The sequence below is a fragment of the Homo sapiens genome, chromosome 5 (genome assembly GCF_000001405.40).
Source record: "Homo sapiens chromosome 5, GRCh38.p14 Primary Assembly".
In the NCBI taxonomy this organism is placed as follows: domain Eukaryota; kingdom Metazoa; phylum Chordata; class Mammalia; order Primates; family Hominidae; genus Homo; species Homo sapiens.
In genome coordinates, this window is record NC_000005.10 from 168831494 (window position 1) to 168853522 (window position 22029).

General features: G+C 43.3%; 1 protein-coding gene across 3 annotated transcripts in view; it reads right to left on the reverse strand.

Annotated features, from left to right (window-relative positions):
• SLIT3 (slit guidance ligand 3) overlaps positions 1 to 22029 on the reverse strand; it is a 639400-nt gene that overhangs the window by 169754 nt on the left and 447617 nt on the right. For all 3 annotated transcript variants that reach the window (NM_003062.4, NM_001271946.2, XM_017009779.1), the window contains exon 6: positions 13091 to 13162. In NM_003062.4, coding sequence (NP_003053.2) covers positions 13091 to 13162 — 72 coding nt within the window. The remainder of the gene's footprint in view (positions 1 to 13090; positions 13163 to 22029) is intronic.

Below are 22029 nucleotides of genomic sequence, written 5' to 3' on the forward strand. Positions count from 1 at the left end.
TAGTCCATTACTCTCAACTGTTAGAAAACATAATGATCTCACAAGGGGCCTTATTCACTGACGTATAGCAGTCGAGCTCTCATTTGACACCTCAAATTAGCAGCCAAAGCAATAACAGCTGGGGTTTTTGTCTCAATATTTGTACCCGACTCTAAAGTGATTTGGCACCGGGTGAGCGTTATTTTTAAACACACAGCTCTCACCGCCAAGTAACATTTTAAATGGTCTCCAGGTGTCATGTAAAACCTACAGAAATAAATAAAAACAATCAGCTGCCAATTTGGGCCTTTGATAATACAGATTCCTTAACAAAAGGGCTTGTCTTTGGTTCTTTTATTATATATTCATATTATGACAGGCAGAAATTCGTCTCCATCCACTCGGCAGAGCCTCGGTGTTCAAAGAAAAACAATACCTCCGAAAAATGTTAAAAGTGGAAGATCAAAAGAGAAAGATAAATCCTCAAATCCTGTCACTACTCAATCAGATCCTGTGTTTGGGGGTCCCTTGACTCCGAAGAACTCCTTATTCATTTACTGAGATGATCACAGATACTGCCTAGCAGTGATTCAGAATGGCTCAACTGCCTTCCAATGATGGAGTTTATTTTAAAATGTACTTTAAATGACCATGTGAATGAGATGGCCTTGGTCTCCCAATTCTGTTTCATCATCTACAGACTGAGACCATGGACAGTCTTGACTTAGAAATCAGGCAATTGCCAACGTGTCCACAGATGCAAGAGTGACCTCCAACTTACATTACTGGACAGGTGAGTTTGCAGTTGAAAAGGGAAGAAACAGGCAATTTCCACCTCAGCTGCATTTGGTGCCTAGCCAGTAAGAGAGGAAGAAGAGGGACATTTTGAAAATATCCATGAATGTGTATACTAGGCATGGGCAGAGAGCAAGTCTGTTTCATGTAGTTACGTAGCCAGAGCCTGGCCCAGTGTTTGGCACATAGGAAGCCTCACTGTTTACTGAATGGGCTGGCGAATATCAAAGCATGAACAGTCAGGTTTTTGGCATCTTTTGATACAAATAAATTCCCACTCTGAACAGCCTTCTGGGCTAATCCAGGAGTACAAACACAATTGCCTACGGGAGTGAGGCTTGTCATATAAGTGAGTGAGCTGCGTGGGGACTGTCGTAAACCCAGCCTTACTAAATGGGATCGTCACTTCTTGTTTCAAGAGACTGTGTTATGCTGGAATGGGGGTGCAGCATTGCCAGTTCTTCCCTTTTGTTATTTTTAAAGAGAAAGCCAGACGTCTAGAATTTTCATATGAGGTCTCCTGGTTTTTTAATATTGGCAGCTAAAACACCTTGAGTATCAAAACCCACAAATGAAACACCTGGGGGCTGGATCTGGCTTGCAGGTGCCAGTTTTTGGTCTCCGAACCAAACAAATTCATTCAATAATTTAAATCAGAAAAAAATATAGTAAGAAAATCAAAGTGCTTCAATGGCATTATGGTGAAATGTAGTTGAAACCTTCCTTCTACACTGCAACTCCCAAAGGGCAGCCACCAGTGATGAATTATCTTTAAATGATTGTAAATTATTCATTGTTTCTCCCCCCACAACCATCATTACTTGGGGACAAAGAGCCCTGAATAAGTTTCTGTTTCTAAAGGTAAGACTGTTTTCCACCAGGCAGGTGAGCTCTTGTCTGGTTTTTGCATGCTACTCATTAGTTCTGTGGCCAAACATATAGGCCACTTTTTGTGGACAGTCGAAACTGAGCCACTTCAGAGCTGTTAGAAAAAGCTGCACAGGGTGCATGAGGCTCTGTTCCTGGGCTGAGATGCCAGAGAGGTCCTGCTTTTTATCCTCTGATATTTGCAAGGGAGGGAGTCTCCCAGGAAGCTGAGTGCAATTTACAGCTTGGGCTAACTGGGCTCAGCAATGGGCAGGGGACTCCAGTGCTTACTCAACGGGTTTCTGGTCATCCCTGGCAGCCAGGGATCAATGATGTGGAATCTGGTCTCTTCCAGACTGCCATCTGACTGGACAATCTATTGGGCACTAGAGTGGCCATTTCCCAAGCAGTGGCCAAAGGCCTGGAAGGCCCTAGAAAGGGAGGGTGTTGTCCTCATGCTGAATGCAAAACGTTCCCTCTAGCAAAATGCTAGAGATTAAAAGGTGATGGCATGAACAGGACATGAAAGCTGGCTTCACTTACTATTGTTTCCTGTCTGCTAATATAGGGGCAAGCAGACAGCAATAAAGAGAACTGGATAAAGAGCCAAAAGACCTGCTTTCTGGCCTGGTTCTTCCACGAATTTTTCCTATGGCTGTGGGCAAGTCATTTAACCTTTGTGAGGGAGTTTCTTTTTTTTTAAATGAAGTGGTGGAACCAGCTGACCTCCAGGGTCTTTCTAGCCTAAATTTCACTCTCTAATTCCAATTGGGTTGTGCTGGCTCTAAAATAGCATTTCTGGATTGGGAATCATTTTCCAGATGTTAGAAGAAGTGGTCATGGATGCCCAGATCTGCCCAGCTCTGCACAGACAGGACATCTGGCCAAAGTCTGGAAGTCACAACTAGCCCCCAGTGTGCAGCATGTGAAAACAGTGAGGCAGGGCCGGCTCTTTTTCTTTCTCTGTTTATGCAAATACCTGGCTCAGCTTCTGTGGGGTTAATGGGCTTGGTTCCCTAACCGGCTGCCGCATCTCTAGTATACCTGTGGAGACAGGAAGGGCTCAGGCAGGGGAGTGATTTTCTTACCCAGTTGACTTTGTGGAAGTCATTTGCAAGGCTGTGAGAAGCAAATAATGGGGATCAGGGAACGAATTTACACTGAAAGGGCTTCCTTTTGGTGGGCCATTGTTGTAAGGATCACACTCCCAGGTTTGGATAAAAATGGGTGTTTTGTGGGTATAAGACCCAGATGCTTAAATTTAGATGGAGAAAGGGCCGGGCACAGTGGCTCATGCCTGTAATCCCAGCACTTTGGGAGGCAGAGGCGGGCGGATCACTCGAGGTCAGGAGTTTGAGACCGGGGGGTCCAACATGGTGAAACCCCGTCTCTACTAAAAATACAAAAATCAGCCAGGTATGGTGGTGCATGCCTGTAATTCCAGCTACTCAGGAGGCTGAGGGCAGGAGGTGAGCCTGGGAGGTGGAGGTTGCAGTGAGCTGAGATCATGCCACTGCACTCCAGCCTGGGACACACAGCGAGACTCTGTCTCAAAAAAAAAAAAAAAAAAAAAAAAAAAAAAAAAAAAAAAGATGGAGGTGGAAGGTGAGGGGAGTGGCAGATATTTCAAAGATTTACTGCTAGAAAAGACACTGTTTAAACATTCTTAATGGATGTGAAATGGCTGGAGAGATTTGGAGCAGGACAGGGAAGCAGACCTGGTGGGAGCTATGGTGATTTGCAGAACATGCCCTGTCCAGACAGGGTACCCACCCACACTTCGCTCCCAGCTTGCACCGTCCAATAAGGTAGCCATGAGCTACACGTGGCAATTCACACTGGAATCAATTAAAATTAAAAATTTAAAAATTCAGTTTCTCAGTTGTGTAAGATGCACTTCAAGTGCTCAAGAGTCACGTGTGGCCAGGGGCTTCCATCCTGGATAACACAGAGATGCAATATTTCCCTCATCACAGAAAGTTCTATTGGACGGTGCTGCTGGAGAGATCCTAGCCACAGGCGGGCCCAGGGTTGGCAAACCTTCTAGATATTCATTGGAAGTTGAATTATAAATTTTACATAAAATTACTTGAGTTTTAAATGTTGGCAACAAATTCTAATTATTTGTAAACAAAAAAATTAAAGAAAAATATAAAATCCCACATCTGCTGTTTTCATTCAACCCATGGGCCAGCAGTTGGAGTCCTCCGATTTAGTTACAAGTTAAAAGAAAATGGACTCTCTAGAGCTTTTTGACAATGAGTTTGAAGAATCCAAATATGACCTTGGAGAAATGGAGTCATTATTTCCTTCATCCCTCCTTCATCCACCATCCCTTACTTCAAAAAAAAAAAAAAAGTGTTGTTTTTTTGTTTGTTTGTTTTGTTTTTTGTACTGGGTGCGGTGACTCATGCCTGTAATCCCAGCGCTTTGGGAGGCCGAGGTGGGCAGATCACTTGAGGTCAGGAGTTCGAGACCAGACTGGCCAACGTGGTGAAACCCCGTCTCTACTAAAAATACAAAAAAATTAGCCAGACGTGGTGGCTGGCACCTGTAATCCCAGCTACTCAGGAGGCTGAGACAAGAGAGTTGCTTGAACTGGGGAGGCGGAGGTTGCAGTGAGCCCAGATTCCACCACTGCACTCCAGCCTGGGTGACAGAGCAAGACTCCATCTCAAAAAAAAAAAAAAATTTGTTTTTGTTTTTGTTTTAGTTTGTGTAGAGGTCTTGCTATGTTGTCTAGACTGGTCTCAAACTCCTGGGCTCAAGCAATGCCCCTGCCTTGGCATTGGGATTACAGGCATGATCTACTTCACCTGGTCCATCCCTTACTTTTTAATACCTTCAAAGATAGAAAATGAAAGCTCAGGGAAAAGTAGCAATGTTGATCCTGTTCTTCCCAGCCTTGTGTCTCCATCACCTTCTCCACATCATCCTTCCTTCCATTAAGCCAGTGGGTAGGAGAGGGCCAAATTCCTGTGAAAGCTCCTAGGATCTTGACTTTCAAGACTCAGGTCTATAGAAAAGCAGACTCTCAGCCACAGGTAAGCTGAGCTGTCCAATCTTGGGCATCCCTGGTGGGAATGGCAGCAGCTGTGGCAGGCAGGTTTGGCTGTTCAAGAGGAACAAGGCTCCCTGGCTTGGAGGTCCATGAGTGTCATGGGATGAGCGCTGATCTAGAGGCAAGTTATTCACTAAACATTCTCAAATACTGGTCACCAAAGCCCCTGCTGGGAGCTGAGGGGATGGTGAAAGGGCAGAGGCTGACCATCAGGCAGGGGCACCTTTGCAAATCAGCACAGAAGCCCGGTCTTAGGAGTGAACTGACCGCTGTAGGCATGTGGCTGCTCTACGGTATTTCCCCTGCCCTCCACATCTTGCCCTTGAAAGAAAACTCTCTGGAATCTTTCTCCAAACATGGAGAACTATTTTTCCCATTTGTTCTAGGTGGGACAAAGCATTTCAAAAGACTGCTCCCAAACCAAGTTTGTCAAGTCTGAATTCCAGTGCAGAGATCTGGCAGCTGGAATGTGTGGCCCCTGGGGACAGCAAGACCACCACGACTTGCCGACTCCCCCTAAGCGCTACTCACGGGAGAAGTTAACAGGAGGTTCGTTGATTCAAGATCCTTTGCTGATCAAAAACAATTCAATTATCTTCTCCACATCCTCTTAACCCAGGAATGTACACCAATACATTTTCAACTTCAGAGATGAAACTAGCTTTTGGTTAACAGGAAAGTGAAATCAACTAGAAAACCACAAGTTTCCCGCAGATTCCAGGTATTTTAAAGGTGAAAGTGCTACTTACTTAAATGGAAAAAAAAAATTTAGATTTCAAAGTAATTTTTACTTTTTCCTTAAGCTGGGGTTCTCAAAACCAAGCTAGTCATTTGAAGAGCATGACTGTCATGGAACCTGGAGTCTGGATGACTAAGAAGGAGGTGTGTGTTGAGTGGCACGAGAGCATTTATAGAAAACCCAGTTTCTTTCCTAGTATTCTAGGGGCTGAATGGAAGTTACAGATGCTTTCTATAGAGTGCAATTTTAATCCTGATTGCATGAACATATCACAATTTACAGCACAGTACCAAAAGAAAAATATCTGGAGATATTTTAAGACTTTCATTAAGCCATGACAGTTCTATATTCAAAACTATGTCATGACTAAACACCCTGATAAAATGTTTGTAGCTCCCAGAGAAACCCAGGTGAAACATTTTATAAATAAATAAAAATGAGTCTAGTCTCTGCTGTAACACACCAATTTTCACTGTAGCTCCGATTTTGTTCCTTATTAAAATGAGAAAGAAAGATCACCATTTAGCCAGAGAAATGCAAAATCAAAGGTAATGTGAAAAGTGGACTGGTTCAGTAAAATACTACGTTGTTCAACATTTAAAATGATTCCAGGACAACCATATCTTGTTCTCTTCAGAGACAAGCCATAACAGGGACTCTAGAGACTGGTGTTGTGGGCTTCAATTCAGTTAATTAATTTCAACTCGATTTGGTTCCACATACTTTAACCGGCCACTTAGTACGTGCCAGGAGTGAGTGAGATGTGGACATAAAGCAGAGAAACAGTACAGAAGTATTTACCAGCTTTACTTATTATGAGCGTCCCGATTGGGAGCCTGCTATTTGCTAGGCACACACCAACGATATCTCTTTTAACCAACACAGCTATTCTCAGGGTTGGGAATTACAGTTTCCATTTTTCAATAAGGAAATGAACTCCAAACCACCTAGTCTGGTAAAGATGAGCTGGAAGCTGGTTCTATGAGAGGACTCTAACCCCTCCAAAGCTCAACCATGGCTCTGTACCTTTATGTCTGGGGCAGTTTTGTGGAACTGGATCTGTTGCTGATTAAGCTGAGGTCATAAATTTAGATCTAAGCACCCTAAGGGTCAGTGTTTCAATAACTATGGTTTCTGAAGTTTTCTGGGCATTCACTACAGATAATGATCTCACTAGTGCATATAATTGTTTCTATGTATGTGTGTTCCGGTAGGTGCTTTTAATTTTAATTTTTATTTTTGTTAAGGGCAGGTGCTCAGATATCAGGCAGAACTGGATCTGAGTTCGGAAAGAGTAGTCCCCTCGTACTTGCCACTGTGACTCTGGGCAAGTCAGTCAACTTTTCTAAGCATCAGTTTCCTGACTGGTGAAATGCAGTTCCTAGGATGTGCCTCATAAAGTTGTGGTGAAGATTTAATTGAGATGCCTCATTCTACTGACTTATCACAGTACCTAAAGATGCTCAAAAATAGAAGTAGACTCTCAAAAATAGTAGATGCTCAAACATGGGACTCTAACAAGATAATATAATCATACTAATAATTATTGTACCATGGTACTATATATTATCGTTACGTCATTATTATTATTCGTTAATCCTCTGGCTCTGCATCCAGAGGAAGCTCAGCTGAAGTGGCCAACACACTGCGACTTGCATTAAACTCTGGGTTCTCTGAAGTGGGCAACATCGTGCTTGAATATCCTAACACCCTGTACCAGGACACCAACCCCGCTCTAGGAGAGTGAGCACACCCTGACCTAGGTTTCAGGACTGCTGTCGATTTTTTTCCACTGCCTTCCTCTTGTACCAGAAAATGACCTTTTCCCCATTCACTCTTCTGCGTCTACCTGTGGGGTTCCGCATCAGGCCACGTTGAACCCACCAGGATATGACTGAATTAGAACTACCCTAAAAATCTGGTTAGTTCTGCTATTGCTTTAACTCTTCAATCTCTCCTCTCTAAACGTGGGCTTGGTGGCCTCAGTACACCAGTTGATCCAGGGGCCTGGGGAACAAGAACCAGGGCAGGTGGGGCGGCTCTTGTGATGAAGACGTGGAGCTAGGGTCACCTCTTGTTTTTCACCCTCATAGGCATAAAACCAATTACAACTGCTGTAACATCAAAGGCAATTTGGAGACTAGTTTAACCCTTGAGAAGAGCTCCTCAGAAGGTGAGACATGAGGGATTCGTGATTGCCTCTGGGGTGTCCTTGCTTAGGTTCGGGCGTCCTGGACTCCACATCACTAAGCTCTCTCTGTGTGTCCACTCCATCATGCTGGTGAGCTCTGGCCTATGGAGCTCAGCCTGCCAAGCACCTGCTCACTTCAAGCTTTACTGTACCCAGCGCCCAGCACTGTGCTGGCCACACAGCGTGTCTTTTCTTCTTGGATGGGTCAGCACAGGGGCCACGTGGGCTGGCAGTTAATGTAAATTGGTAGGGGTCAGTGGCAGAGTGGGGTCTACATGCCCCGTCCAAGGAGGACAGGTGTTCCCCAGCCACAGCTGACTGCAATGCAGAAATGCCGGCCCACAGTTGCCAGTGCTTCTAGTTTTTCCAGAGAAGCTGGAAATCTGGGCTTTTTATGTAAGATATCTCAATTTTTAAATGTGAAATGCTAATTTCAATTTTTAAAAAACATTCCACAGGACAAAAGAAAAATCTCACCTATGGGAGCAATATGGTGTGTGGTCTAGTTTGTAGCCTCCGGTTTAAAGAGAGCTAAGAGCCGGATCATCCCTTGTTTCTGTCACAGACAAACATTTGCCCTCCCCCAGTCTCCTAAATAATACCCAAAACTTAATGGTGGGTTTTGAAAGGATGAACTATGCTTGGGATTCCCAATCTTACCAGGGGCTCCCTTCTGAACAATTGCATATAGGTGCCCAATGCGGACAGAAACACGGGTGAGGAGTCCCAAATTCTAAGTTCCCCTGTTACCGCCAACTTGCTGCTGACTTCAGGCAAGTCTCCTAGCCAGGGCCAGGCCTAGGGTGAACCAGGCGAGGTGCTCAGGGTGCAGAATGCTAGGTGGCATGGGCCTCTCTCCAGTGCCTGCTCTCTGGGTCTTAATCTGGACAGTGAGAGGTCATCCTGGAGACACCTAAGGTCCTACCAGCGCCAACCTATAATAATGTCAGTGAATTTCCAAAATTGGCAAGTGACATAAATGGGAGTGAGAGCTTCCAAACAGCACACGCCGGTTATCTATGGACCTGTTGGGATCTCCATGCCATTTACCTGGCACCAGTGATTTCTCAAGGGCAGACCAATCACCAGGAGATGAGAGCATTTTCAGGATGTGTTTCTGTTATCTGTGGTCCGGCATTTTTGACAACGTATTTATTGAACTTCTGACTTGCTACCTTTAGTCAAGGGACAATGTCCAAAAGTATTTTTTATTCTCCCATAATACTACCGAAAAACAATTCATGACATATGTTATTAATCAGGTTTTCTCATTTTTGTTTAACTTGTCCCTACTTTTTTTTTTCATTAGAGTTAAGCATTTTTTTTTTTTTCTGACCCATGATGGTACGTTAGTCAGGGAGGTGCCACTATAACTGGTGAAATGCCTGGCCATCCTCAGCCTGGCTGGTATGGGCTAGAAACCCAGGGCTCAGAGCACCAGCACAGTGCATCCTGACCACACAGAGCCAGGAATGCAGTCTTGGCATATTCAACTGCAGTATAAGCACGACTTACTTGGAGAAAACCTAGTGTTGTATGCGAATTACCAAAAGCATAGAACAGGTGGAAATTAAAGGGCAATGATTTGAGTAACAGCAGAGGGTCTGACTCACAGAGCCTCGGTCCCTCAATTAAGAACCTTAAATGCCACAAAGTTGAGGCTGTATTTTTTTAGGAGGGGGAGACAGTTCTAGAAAGTAGAGCCCCCAAACTGTGGAGTGCCAAAGTCTATGGCAATGGCCACGAGTGGGAATAAATCATCTCTGGGGCGACAAGTGTATCAGTGAAAAAGCAGGACGAGTTCCTTACTCCTGCAAGTTTGATTTACCTTCAACTTTGTGGGCACCCGTTAACTGGGTAAAGGGAATGGCAGGGCCAATTTCACAAGCCTGTGAAAGGCTCCGACATTCTCCCCAGCGGGATTGTGAGTCATTGCTAGTTTGCCTCCATCAGTTCTTGAGGCCAGTTCACACCACCCTGCAGCCCACAGCCGCCATGCTTCAGGGCAGCCAAACACCATGGCAGCCTTGGCAACATGCATCCAAAAGGCAGCTTGGTAGAATGGTTAATCACACAGACTCTGCTGCTAATTAGCTAAGCAGTTACTTGCCTTCTCTGAGATGGGCTACTTTTTTTGTAAAAGCAGGGTGAGGGTAACAGTAGTTCTATTGAGAGATTGTGAGGATGGCAAGAGCTAGTGCATGTAAAAGCACTGGTGGTATCACTGGGCTTGAGTAACTGCTAGCGATTTTCATTTTCCTCATTATTCCTCCTCCGTAGTGGCATGGAAGGAATGAGAAGTTTCGCCCCCGATACTATGCTTTTCTTCTTACTTCCTGGAAAGGGGAGGGGATGGCTCCTTTCCCTGTCCACCATACTCTGCACTGGACATCCCCCATCGGGAATGAGTCAAAAATGAGGTTGAAGTGGGCAGATTTCAGTCTTTCCCAACCTTGTACCAGTTCATTTCTTCTCATACATAGTCAGTGGTTCCCTCTCAGGCTCACCTCCAATGTTCTCATTCAATGTAACTGGTAAAACCATTGTCAGCCTCGATGGAAAGAAGTTTTATGGTATTTCCATCCACAGGAGGGATGGAATAACAGGGTTATTGCATGCGAAATACTTCTACTTGCAGTTGACATCCATACACTTTCCTTAAGTTAATTTGAGAGCTTTCTGGGACAACCAATGTGTCTTTGCTTGATTTCTACTTCATGCTGCCTAATGTCAGAGAAAACATACCCGAAACATTACATTTTGTCTTCTTAATTTGCAGACTTTTAAGCTTTAGATATTTTAAAATGCTCTTTCTGGGGATAGGATGTTTTGAACTCTCCTCTTTCACTCAGAAATTTATCAAGCTAATGTGTAATACTGTCACTGAGTTCCTATTTATTATTTCATTGTCAGGATTCTTTATGGAGCCTAAATTGTGATTACAGAGAAGCATTATAAAATGTCAATGTGTGGATGAGATTTGGAAGGTCTAGGGGTGGGGAGGGGAGGTTCTTTAAATGGAGATGTCAGCTCCAGCCAAGTTCAGAATGGCTCACCATTAAGATGGATGGTTTCAAAGCTGTGTGCCTCTGCTGGAAATTAAAAACCCATGGAATAACTGATTATGATTAATTTTAAGTACTTAGCCATGTGAAGCCAAATGAGAGTGTCTTTAAAACAAAGCTATTGATCTGGCTTTGTTTGGAATTGAGAAGATAAACTAATCAGATCCTATGGGCTCTTTGCAATGATAAGGAATGAGAACTTTTTTTTTTTTCTTTCAGTCACAGGTTTTTAAAGCTTCAACTTGGAGACACCTGGTGCATCTGGATACCGTTTTTTCGTTTTTTTTTTTTTTTTTTGTATCTGAGTAGAGGAGAGCTGTCCAAATCTGTCCTGGGCAAGGGCTTGATGGGGGTGAGGGTGTATGGGGGCAAAGTTAGGAAAGTGGAAGGGATGGCAGTTATGAGAGCCCCTCCTATGTAGTACATACACTGTCTGTTTTTAAAAGTTGGGGAGATAGACTCAGAGAGATGAAGACACTTGACCCAAGCCCCACCCAGGTGTGTCTGGCTGTAAAGCCCTCTCTTCTCCCTCAGACTGCCTTCCTGGTGAGGTAAGACAACACCGTTCCTAGCACAGAGAATGACCGTGAGGGCTGTCAGGTTGTCACAGCTGTTTCGTGGCAGCTGGTGACTTCCGTTTCCTGGTCTCTTCCCAAGGAATTTTCTCATCTTTCTCATTCTCTCTGTCAAGGGAGGAAAAAGGTGATGTGCTGTGAGCAGCCCTTTCTACAAATGCTATTTTGCAGGCAGGGAAAATCCTGCCTACCCTTCTCAGCCCCAGCCTCCTGATAAGAGGAGTCCTAGGTTACTAAATTTGGGCTGGCATCCTCTCTCTGGCAGACGGGCATTTGTTGCCAGTTCCAGGGTCAGAGTTTGAGTGAGGAGAGACAATCTATCTCAGAAATGACAATCTGACCTCCCTGGCTGTGGGTCCTGTCTTTTCTGGACCGGGAATTCTCGGCTTTCATCCGATTTCAAGCAGCTTGCAGCATCAGCATCCCCTTTTATTTCCCGTGATTCCTCTTGGAATCACCTTCCTCTCAAATAATGTGGAGAGGCTCTCTCCAACCCGTTGCTAGTATCTGCGGGGCCAGGTGAAGAGGAAGGTGGAGGGAGGACCTTTCACTCATTCTCTCACATACAAAGGAATGCTTCAAAATATTCATTCACCTGTTTATTTGGCATTCATTGATTCTTCTGGAATCAGAGATAGGTAACCTGTGACTGTGTAATTTTTTATTTTTAGGAGGAGGCTTGAGAAACCCCACTCTGCTATCAGTCACTGGCTAGAATCGTACCATGGGAATTATTTTTAGAACCAAGCAGCTACATAATTTGGAAAGGGGAAGTCACTCCCAAGACAGAGCAACCAACCCTTTCATTTTACAAATGAGGAAACTGAGGCTCCCAGAGCCGAAGAGACTTGCCCAAGGTCACACGACTAATCAGTGGCAGAATCCGGACTCAACCACACGTCTCCTGACAGAAGTGGCACAGGTTCTCCTGTGCTGTACTGCCTTCCTCTCTGGGCTTCTCTAAATCAGGGACAGCTAGAAGTGTAGCTTTGGTGAGAATAACCAAAATGTTTTCTTACACAATTCAACTTTAGTTGGAATGACCCCAAGATGACTCCTAGCTGACTTTCCTCCTGGGAGTTAGGTTTTCTTAGTTAGACTCATTTGAAAATCCAGAGCTCAGAAAGGCAGCTACACATTCTTTCTAGACAAGGTGTATAGGGTAGGATTTTGGGGAAGGGGCTGTCTCCTCTCATCTCCCCCTATTTCCTGCCCCCCGCCCCCCTACCCCTGGCCCCTTTAAGGTCACGGTCACTGTTTAAAGTTTGAATTGAAGCCTGAGATGAGATCCCAGGAGCAATAGCAATGACTGGGCTTTCCCAGGCTGTGTGGCATTCCCCTGCCCTGTGCCAAGGTCCCTTTCTGATTCAGGTAATTCCAGCTGACCTCCTGGCACTAACCCCTCTCTCTGGCCCCAACCCCGGCCCCTGTCTCCCAGTGTGCCCGCACTCAAACACACTGTCCCTGATGCTGTGGCAGGCTCTGGGGGGTTCTGCTCCAGCCCATCTGTTTCTCCCAGCAACGAATGCTGCAGGAGCACTGGGGGAAAAGGAGAAAGACTCAATTGAGACTTAATTAGCAGGAACCTCAGTTTGTGGGAGGTAAGAAATCACACTTGGCTGCCTGCAAACACTTTGACCAAGGTGAGCCGGAGGGATCCCCTGGTTCCCAATTTTAATAGCACTGCAGCAGAGACCAGAAATGCATTCACACAGACCCTCCTGCACACACTCTCCCCCTCTCTCCTCCCCACACAGACACACACACATACACACACATGCACGCACACACAAGGCAGCGATCGCAAAATCAACTCACAGGATCTCCAAATCGCGCAGCGCTCGGAAGGCTCCATCTTCAATGCAGCTGATGTGGTTGTTGTCCAGTTGCCTGTGGAAAAGCAGGGGAGAGCATGAAGGCTGAGCGGGGGCAGCGTGAGGGGCCGGCGGCCCAGGCCACCCGAGCGCCTGTCCCTCCACCCCCTTGCAGGCGCTGCTGGTCCCCGCCAGGAGCTCGTGCAGAGCCAGCCTGTCTGCCACGCTGCTCCGTCTCTCCTCTCTGACTGTCTGAGAGAACTACACAGACGAGCGCACCAAAAGGCTGTCAGGTCTCAGTAAATATTAATTGCGCATTTTTTTTTTTTTTTTTTTTTTAGGCAGAAGGGAGTAATTTCATTACATTAGGGCATCCAATCCATTACGAGCTCTTACCGTCATGTCACTGAAACAATTTCATTAAGCTAAAGGCCTGTAAATCATTGGAGGTCACTGCTCTGCCCTCCGCGACCTCCCAGAATGCTTTTTTCCTCTCTCCCGTTCCCCCGTCTCCCTTTTACTGGAAGTTGCAGTCTTCTGCTCTGACACAGTGCTAAATCTCAAGGCTTTATCTACCCAAGAGCGGCAAGGGTGCATGGGGAATATACCAATTCCAAATTAGACTCAACTAATCTAATTTTATAGTCTTTTTATTATTCTAAGCACCAAATGTCTGTGGTGGTTTGATGCCTCTGTGCATTGTTACGGGGCCCATCTGGTAGGTCATTCTATTGAAGCATTTTCTGACTAAATACAGATTCCCTCAAACTGCACCAGCCATCATCAACATTAAAGAAATTCATTGATGGAAGCGTTCATGAAGAGGGGAAGAAGGAATATCGTTATTGCCTTAAAGATGCACCACTTTGATTTAAATTGGGAAGAATTAAATGCACCTATTTCCAGACTCCTTTGTAATTTCCCTTTCCATCCTGTGATCCTGTGAGCATGAAAATAATGTCTCTTAAAAAGATGCCTTGACTAATATACATTCTAGTTGGAGACTGAGCTATTTTAGTTGAGGGATCATACACAGATACCAGGGTTTTTTTTTTCCTAAATCAAAATATATATAATGTGTAAGTCAGGATATCAACCATGATCACACCCCAACTATAATAGCATATATTACATACATAACCCACTTTATTCCTTAAAAAACCATAAAAAACAACAAAAAAGGTGTTATACAGGAATTGGTTATTGACACCAGATTGTTGTACTCGGTCTGCAGAGCACACTATGGTCTTTGGGGCTGCAGGACAGGTGAAAAGAGCTATGGCTGTACTAAAAAACTCCTAGACTCTTTTAATCTTCTCCACCTCTCAGGTGGAGGGATTTCCTGGTGTTGGAATTTTCATGTGTAAATTGAGCTAAACTATCCCAGGACAACTCTCCACAAAAGACATGTCAAAGCTACCTTTGGGAACCCTCTTCCAGGGCTTTATTTTCTACTGAAGGCAAGATTAAAATTAAAATACTATTATCTTTGGATAAGTATCCAGATGTAGAATTGCATAAATGCACACAAATAAAACGCAATAGAGTGATACCGTGCATTACAACAGACAGACTCTGTCACGATATTATGGACAATTATTAATACATCATCTCAATAGATGCTCATGATAGAAGATTTAGATATTTAGACTAAGAAAATAAACAGTCCACAGGCATCTCGAGAAGCAGAAGCACATTTTCAGTTGGCGAGTTCTGTATCTAGTGTTCAAAGTTCTCACTGATGCCCACTCACACGGAGTCTCACCACATCTTCTCGACCCCTAATTCTTCTGGAGCCTTTATTCACACGGGTTTGCTAAGCCTCTTTTTCATAGATTTCTTGCAGTGTTGGGGCCGCCGACTCCCTGCAGAGGTTCTATGAAGGCAGTCTAGTCCTGCTGCCCAGCTTCTAGATTTATCATCAGCTTAGAGGCCGGTGAATCAACAACCTCTACCCCACGCCAAGGCCACCAAACCTTACCAAGCAGAAATGCAGTGGAGTTGGCTTTTGGCTTCGAGAAACTGTTCAATGAACATGCTGAATTCGGCAAAAATGGCACCATCCGCCTAAGTAGAAAAGGATCTAAATCATCACATTGGGAAGTCTGGGGTGTGTAGAGATGGCAGTTTGTGGTGCATTGGTTTTCGTGCAGACATTTCATAAAGGTCCTTGCTATTAGTATATTATTTATTTACTGGATTTGTGAAGCATTTTCTATTCCTTTTCTTTTTGAGAACACCAGAAATCAAACAGGAGACTCTACATGTACAGAATTTTATGTGGAAAGAATGGAATCTGCAGGGAAGAAGAAAATGCCATAGAAAGAAGAGAATAAACCAAAGTGGGAGAAAGAGAATAAAAAAAGTATGTGGTGAGGGGAGATAGCCAAAAGATTTTTTTAAAAGACTAAACACACACTAGTAAATATCCCATCACAGTCCTGCTACTCAGCAAACTGAAGTGGTGGGGACAAGAGTCTTTGAGAGGGCTCTGATCATTTTCAGGCTAAAAGCAGAGACATCTAATATGTTACTAATTACGTGACGTTTAAATATTTTCAGTGGGTGGCACAAGTTGACATCAAGTTTATTTGCAATGGGGAAAACTGAGCTTTACTATAAGCATCTCTGTGGGTGTATTTTATAGACTATTTTAAAACACGAAACATCAAAATTTAAAATATTTATGCATAAGTGTGCTTTTCTAGAAGACATTTATTATAACTGAGATTGTCTCCTTTTGTTCTAACCACAGATAAATGAAAACAGACAGGATATTCCAACCATGATGGTCAAGGAGCCATTCTCAAGACAAGATGCCACATTCATTACCAGGGTCTTCAAGGGTTTAACACCTATGGGGGCCCCATAAGGTAAACAAAAACCACAGCGGTTACTCCACTTCCCAGCTCTTACATCTCCATGGCACCGAGCATCAGCGTATTCGTAAAAAGCCCAATTAATTGTCCATGAGCATTCCTGATACTTCCTGCAAATACACTAGGTCTCTAAAACAAAGTAAATACACACTTGGTTCAGACAGGTTTCTTTTTCTTTGCAAAATGACACCTCAGCGACATAAAAGTTAGTCCTGATGCACAGGAGAAGGGAGGCAAAATAAACACAAGCCCAGCATTTCTTTGAGGATGGTGGAGTGGAGCGTTACTAAACACACAGAGAACCTTCCGAAGCTGAGGCCAAAACATTCGATTTAGCAGTTTGCTTCTGGGGTTTGATGTGACCGGGGGGCCACTGATGTGTATTCTGAGCTCTCAGGTCAAAGGTCCATATCGTGCCTTTGAAAGGCCTCCTTCAAAGACCCTCTCAAAAACAAATCAACAAAGCCCATTGCCTACCCTGCAACATGCACGCTATCACTCGGGAGGCATCTGCAAAAAGGGCTTTGGAAATGTGAGCAGAGAGAACCCAGCAGTTGGAGGATGCCTGAGAGCTCTCTTTCAATTTTTCCTGGGCCATAAGAAGTGTATTTCCCACAGCTGCTGAATCTTTGCTTCTTATCATGCAACATAACTTACCCCAGTGCCTAGCGCAGTGCCAGCCACTTCACAGATGGTCACCAATGGTTGCAGAATGAGTCCTTCTAGGAAAAGGTGTCAGGGCTGAGCCCAAGCCGTATGGAATAAAGCTCTAAGCCATATCGTCATGACTGTGGCCCTGTGGCCCTTCTAGTGACGACAATAAAGACTGAGCCCTCCTGCTGTGACTGTACAGGGCTAAGCACCTTCCCTGCTTCTTGTCTTTCTGAGACACAGACCTCTATCAGGGAGCCCTTGGGAAGGAGACTTGAAATAAAACAAGATTTCTATGGGTCCAGGATGAAGATGGGGAACGGGAAGGCAAGAAATTTTGGGAAGGCTGGCTATTTTTTTGGAGGCCACTTTTATTGTCTTCTACTTTATACAGGATACTCAGTTTGATTTACACTCCCCTGTCTCTGAATAAGCCAAGAAGCCCCAAAATGTTTCATGATATTAAATTAACTGCTCTAATTTCCCCAGGAAGCTCGAATTTCGGCAAACAATATGAGTGCTAAAATGATACCAGAGTCCATTTAGAGAGGAATCCTCCGACAAGCACTAAATGCAGACTCCCCGAGAGCAGCTTTCTGACTACTGTATTTTTATACTCTGAGAATATAAACAAGGCAGAAAGGAAAGCCAGCGTGAGTGAGGACTTAAAATAATCTCCGCAAACGGCAGACTGGGAGATAGCACTTTTGAAAGAATTCCCATTAGTAAGCATAATATACTCCTATTATCACAGTTCATCTCTTTCAATTACAATGTGAAATTTCGTAATTGAAGCAGGATTAGAAATGTTTTTGTGCTTCAGAAATTAAAGCAGCCTATCTAAATCCTTTACAAAGGGTTAAAAAACTGACTACAATTTAAAAAGCTTCTAACTATCTCCCAACAGTAACCAAAAAAAGAAGAAAGAGATAAAGAAAGAAGGAAAAGAAAAAGAATTTTTTTTAAATTCAGGATTTCAATGATGCATTTAAGTCCCCATGAAGAATACCTTGAAAATAGATATCTTCAGAAATAGGCTTTGGGTATCTGGAAGAAAAGTCGAATTCCAAACTAGGTATCTACATGCAAGGTCTGCACATCAGGGGATACCCATCCAGTTGTTCATTCCTCATCCAGATGTTCTGGGGGCCCAGCATCTCATCAGGTGGATGGTTAAACTTAGCCTGAGGGCACTGTCCCTCCAGAGGCCCCAAATCCAGCAGCAGCGTTCTGCTCTGAGCTTCTGTTCATGTTCCTCCTCATGCTAAATGGGAGAAGTAGCTAAGGCTCAGCACCCTTTAGAGTTTAACAATTTGCTAATTTCTGAATAAATCTATCCCTACCAAATGTGCCAAATAAGTGTGGGGACTTCTGCATGAAATTCACAAGGGAAGCCTTACTAGAAACCCAAAGCAAGTCAACAGTCATGAAATCCAACAAGGAATTAACCCATAAGAGTAACATAGTACTATTAGATGTTCACACTGTCTTAGGTACTCAGGATGAAGAATAAAGTATAAGACACGCTTTGAAAATATTTGGAAGAAAGTTGCCACCTCTGGTTTTCACAGCTGAATTATACTGAAAGGTTTAAGGGAATTTAAACACCTAAACTATAATAATTTGAATTAGTTTTTGATGAAATATATATATGTTCATCAATGTACATATTTGAAGTATTCTTTTTCTAGACGGAGGAGAAATAGAATATTGTAACTGTAAAAAGAAAACCAGGGGAATCCCTGCTTTCATGAACCAAGGCAGAAGACAAAATGTGAAGCAGCCTTGACATGCTATTTCTTTCCTCCCTATTATCCAATTGTCCTTTAAGCAGAGAATAGGAAATCTAGAAGCGCTTTTGAAGGTTGTTTTTTTTTATGACAGTTTAACATTCTAAAAAATCATTATTGAAGAACAAATTATAGAAGCATTTGTCTGCTGCTAGCTGGGGTCTTTGAAAAAAATAAAGCTCAAGGTTATTTTAACTGACAAAAGGAAAAAAATTATCTTCAAAAGAAACGCATATACTTCATATAACTGAGTACTGGTTACACTTCCTCAGAGAAATCAAACACTTGATCTAAGCCACAATCTGCTAATGAATTGTCACTGCTTCTCATCATTTGAGGGCTACTGTAATTCTACATTAAAACAACATCTCAAATGAGCAAAAGGAGGTGAATCTATCATTTTGCTCATTTTGTACACTTGCCCACCAGACCCTAGAATACATATAGATATGTTTACTGATTCATGAATTATTTAAGTATCCACAAAGACCCCTGTCTATAAAACTGACAACTCTTATGCCTATTTTTCCTACATATGTAGTTACATGTAATATTGTGTCCATGTAAATACAAATATATATAACTGGTAAAGCAATTGTTGACCTCTGACGTTTAATGTGGTATAGCCAGTTACATTTACAGAGATATTTAGATAATTGATTGTTAGCATTCCAAAGACTTCAACCAACCAAATCTACTTTGTAAAGGACAAAGTCCTAGGTTAATTAAGCTCTCTGATCGGAATAGCCTGCTTAGAACTTAGTTGGAAATTGAACAAGTCTATTTCAACAAATGTCATTATGCATACTTTGCCACATAGCTAGCATAACACCTTCTATTTCATATAGATCATAATGCCGTTCAACATATGCAACTTCTCAGCAGGAGAATAACTGCATCCACTCCAGTAGATGCTCCTGAAAGCAAGCTCTGCAATAATGCAAACAGCGATGATGGATTAGCCACAAAGAGGCACACCAGACCTTGGAGAATAAAGAGGTGTTTTACACATCGCTGGGAAATATCAATAACTCCACTTCTGTGTTTACATACTTTCCTGTATATTGGGCTTTTGGCAAATGAATTTGTGTTGAAAAATGCAGGGGGAAGATCCCTGCAAACCACTTTATCATTAAAGATAGGGCCAGGTGCAGCGGTTCACGCCTGTGATCCCAGCACTTTGGGAGGCCGAGGCAGGGGGATCATGAGGTCAGAAGATCGAGACCATCCTGGCTCACACGGTGAAACCCGATCTCTACTGAAAATACAAAAAATTAGCCGGGCGTGGTGGCGGGCGCCTGTAGTCCCAGCTACTCGGGAGGCTGAGGCAGGAGAATGGCGTGAACCCGGGAGGCGGAGCTTGCTGTGAGCAGAGATCGCACAACTGCACTCGAGCCTGGGCGACAGAGTGAGACTCCGTCTCAAAAAAAAAAAAAAAAAGATAGTTACGGGGGACAAGCAGAGATCCCACTTAATTTTGGCGAGTTTAAATTTGAAACAAATTTCTGGCATTTCTAGATAAATAAAAGAACAACAATAACAAAACAAACAAATCCAAAGCAAATCAAACGAAAACACCTCATATTCACAGCGAGACAGTATCATTTGTTTTCCAGCAACTTTTAGACGAGGGGACCAAGGAAGTTTGGTTACTGTTTGCAAAATGTGCTGTCACACTTTGAGGCTTGCCTCAAATCTACCTGCATCCTGTGGTCATCCCCATGTTTGGACCAAAGGGTTTTATACCTCGGTGGCCCAACTCCCCAAGGTTTACATGGGACTTCCCTGTTTTAGCATTGAAACTCCTGTGTTCGATCCTGGGAAACAAATCAATTCCAGGCCAACTGCGATGGCTGCTTACCCTGTTATACCCCATGGGGCTGACTCAGTTGAAAATAGATTTATTCTTGGCATTTCATTCCCTCAACCATATCCCTAAACCTTAAAATGTCTGTTGACTCGCAAACCCAGCTTTCAGTTCTGTTGGCTCTAAAAGGCTCCTCACTGCAGCTTCTGTAAAATGGGCTGTCTCTTTGCAAACAAGCCCATGACAAGGCCAGGGGGAGCCTTGAAAGTCACTGAAACATTGGGCCTTGCATTCTCTGCCTTCCTCGTTGGGAATTAGAATTTCTTTGTAAGAAGTATCAGTGTTTTACTTGCCGGCCTTGCTGATGTCATGAATACTCAGAGGCTGGACAAATAAATGGCTGTCTCCATAGTGATGGGGGCAGGTTTATGGTTTCCCTAGTTACACTCTTGAGCGATAACCATCTGTGGTTCCTCCCCGGCAGAGGCGCAGGAGGGAGGAAGAAGCGAGAAACTGGGAAGATGAAATGTGCTTTTGTTAACGGGCATGAAAAGTTATCTCCCACATCTCTGTTTTTTTACTCTGTTTTTCTAAATCACCCAGCACAAACTGTAGTGAGGTAGTTTTTTTCTTTTTATCCCCATGGGGGTTTCAGAAAATTTTCCCACTGGGCTCTAAAGATTAAATGATTCCAGCTGCGTGAATATGACCACTAAGCAAGAGCCAGAGCTGAGACATTTCTTCCTGGATAGGAGGTCAGTGCCCAGGTGAGATGTTAGTTTTCATTCAAATACAAGATGGCAAACATCCCCACTCAGGGTCGAGGACACAAATCGGCACATCCTGGGGAGTGCTCCCTGACAGTGCACTGAAACCACATCATCTCCTTCAGCCTCGAGAGATCTTTGTTTCCCTTTAAAAACATCACATAGATCACTCATCAAGAAAATTAAGACTTCCTTGAATTTTTTCACATTTCTAGCCCATACTAACTAACCCTTTGAAGGCTCTCATTATTGGCTACCTGTTTTTTTCTTATAAAAGTGGAAGACTAGGGCTTGTATAATTTGTAACTATGCAAACTAAGTGATTCACATCCATGCCCCTCAGTCTCAGTTGTAAAAGGCAGATAACATTTAGTCCAAAAGGAATTTTTGTGTATTAATGAAGTGTGTGCACTCTGAAAATGTATTTGTGGCATTACTTAATTTTATTTGCTTTAAAACAAGTAATATTAAATTTAGGAATTCTTTTTTACATAATCTCCAAGCTCTCCTTCAGCTCTGAAGTTATATGACCTGAAATTGGTTTCTTATGAAATTCTAAAAACATTCTTGTTCATCTAACTTAGACCCTTCTGTGATTTGAACCTATCTCTTTGTCCCTTCTTCTTCCATCCCAGACCAAAGAATCTATTATTTGAGATATTCAATATATTCTTTCTGGACTAAGGGCAGCAGTTCAGACTCACATGCTTTTTGTATTTCTCCTGCTATTACAAGATTGAAATACAAGAAGCCACCAAAAACCTACACCAAAGAAAATACAAATTGCTCCCTTACTGAAAGAAGGATACCAATGTGTGCACATATTCACAATTCCCATAGTTGACACAACTAAGGAGAGAAATTGCAAAATTTAATCTCATTTCTTGGTGGCTACTTCCAACTAATAACCAATCAAGTAATGTACCACCTAAAATAGTCAAATGCCGCACCATCTATGGCATATAAGTTCTTAATCTTAACATTCCGTAAGCTGTACACAAACCTTCAGTGGCTCCCTGTGGCTCACATGATAAATTGTAGCAATCACA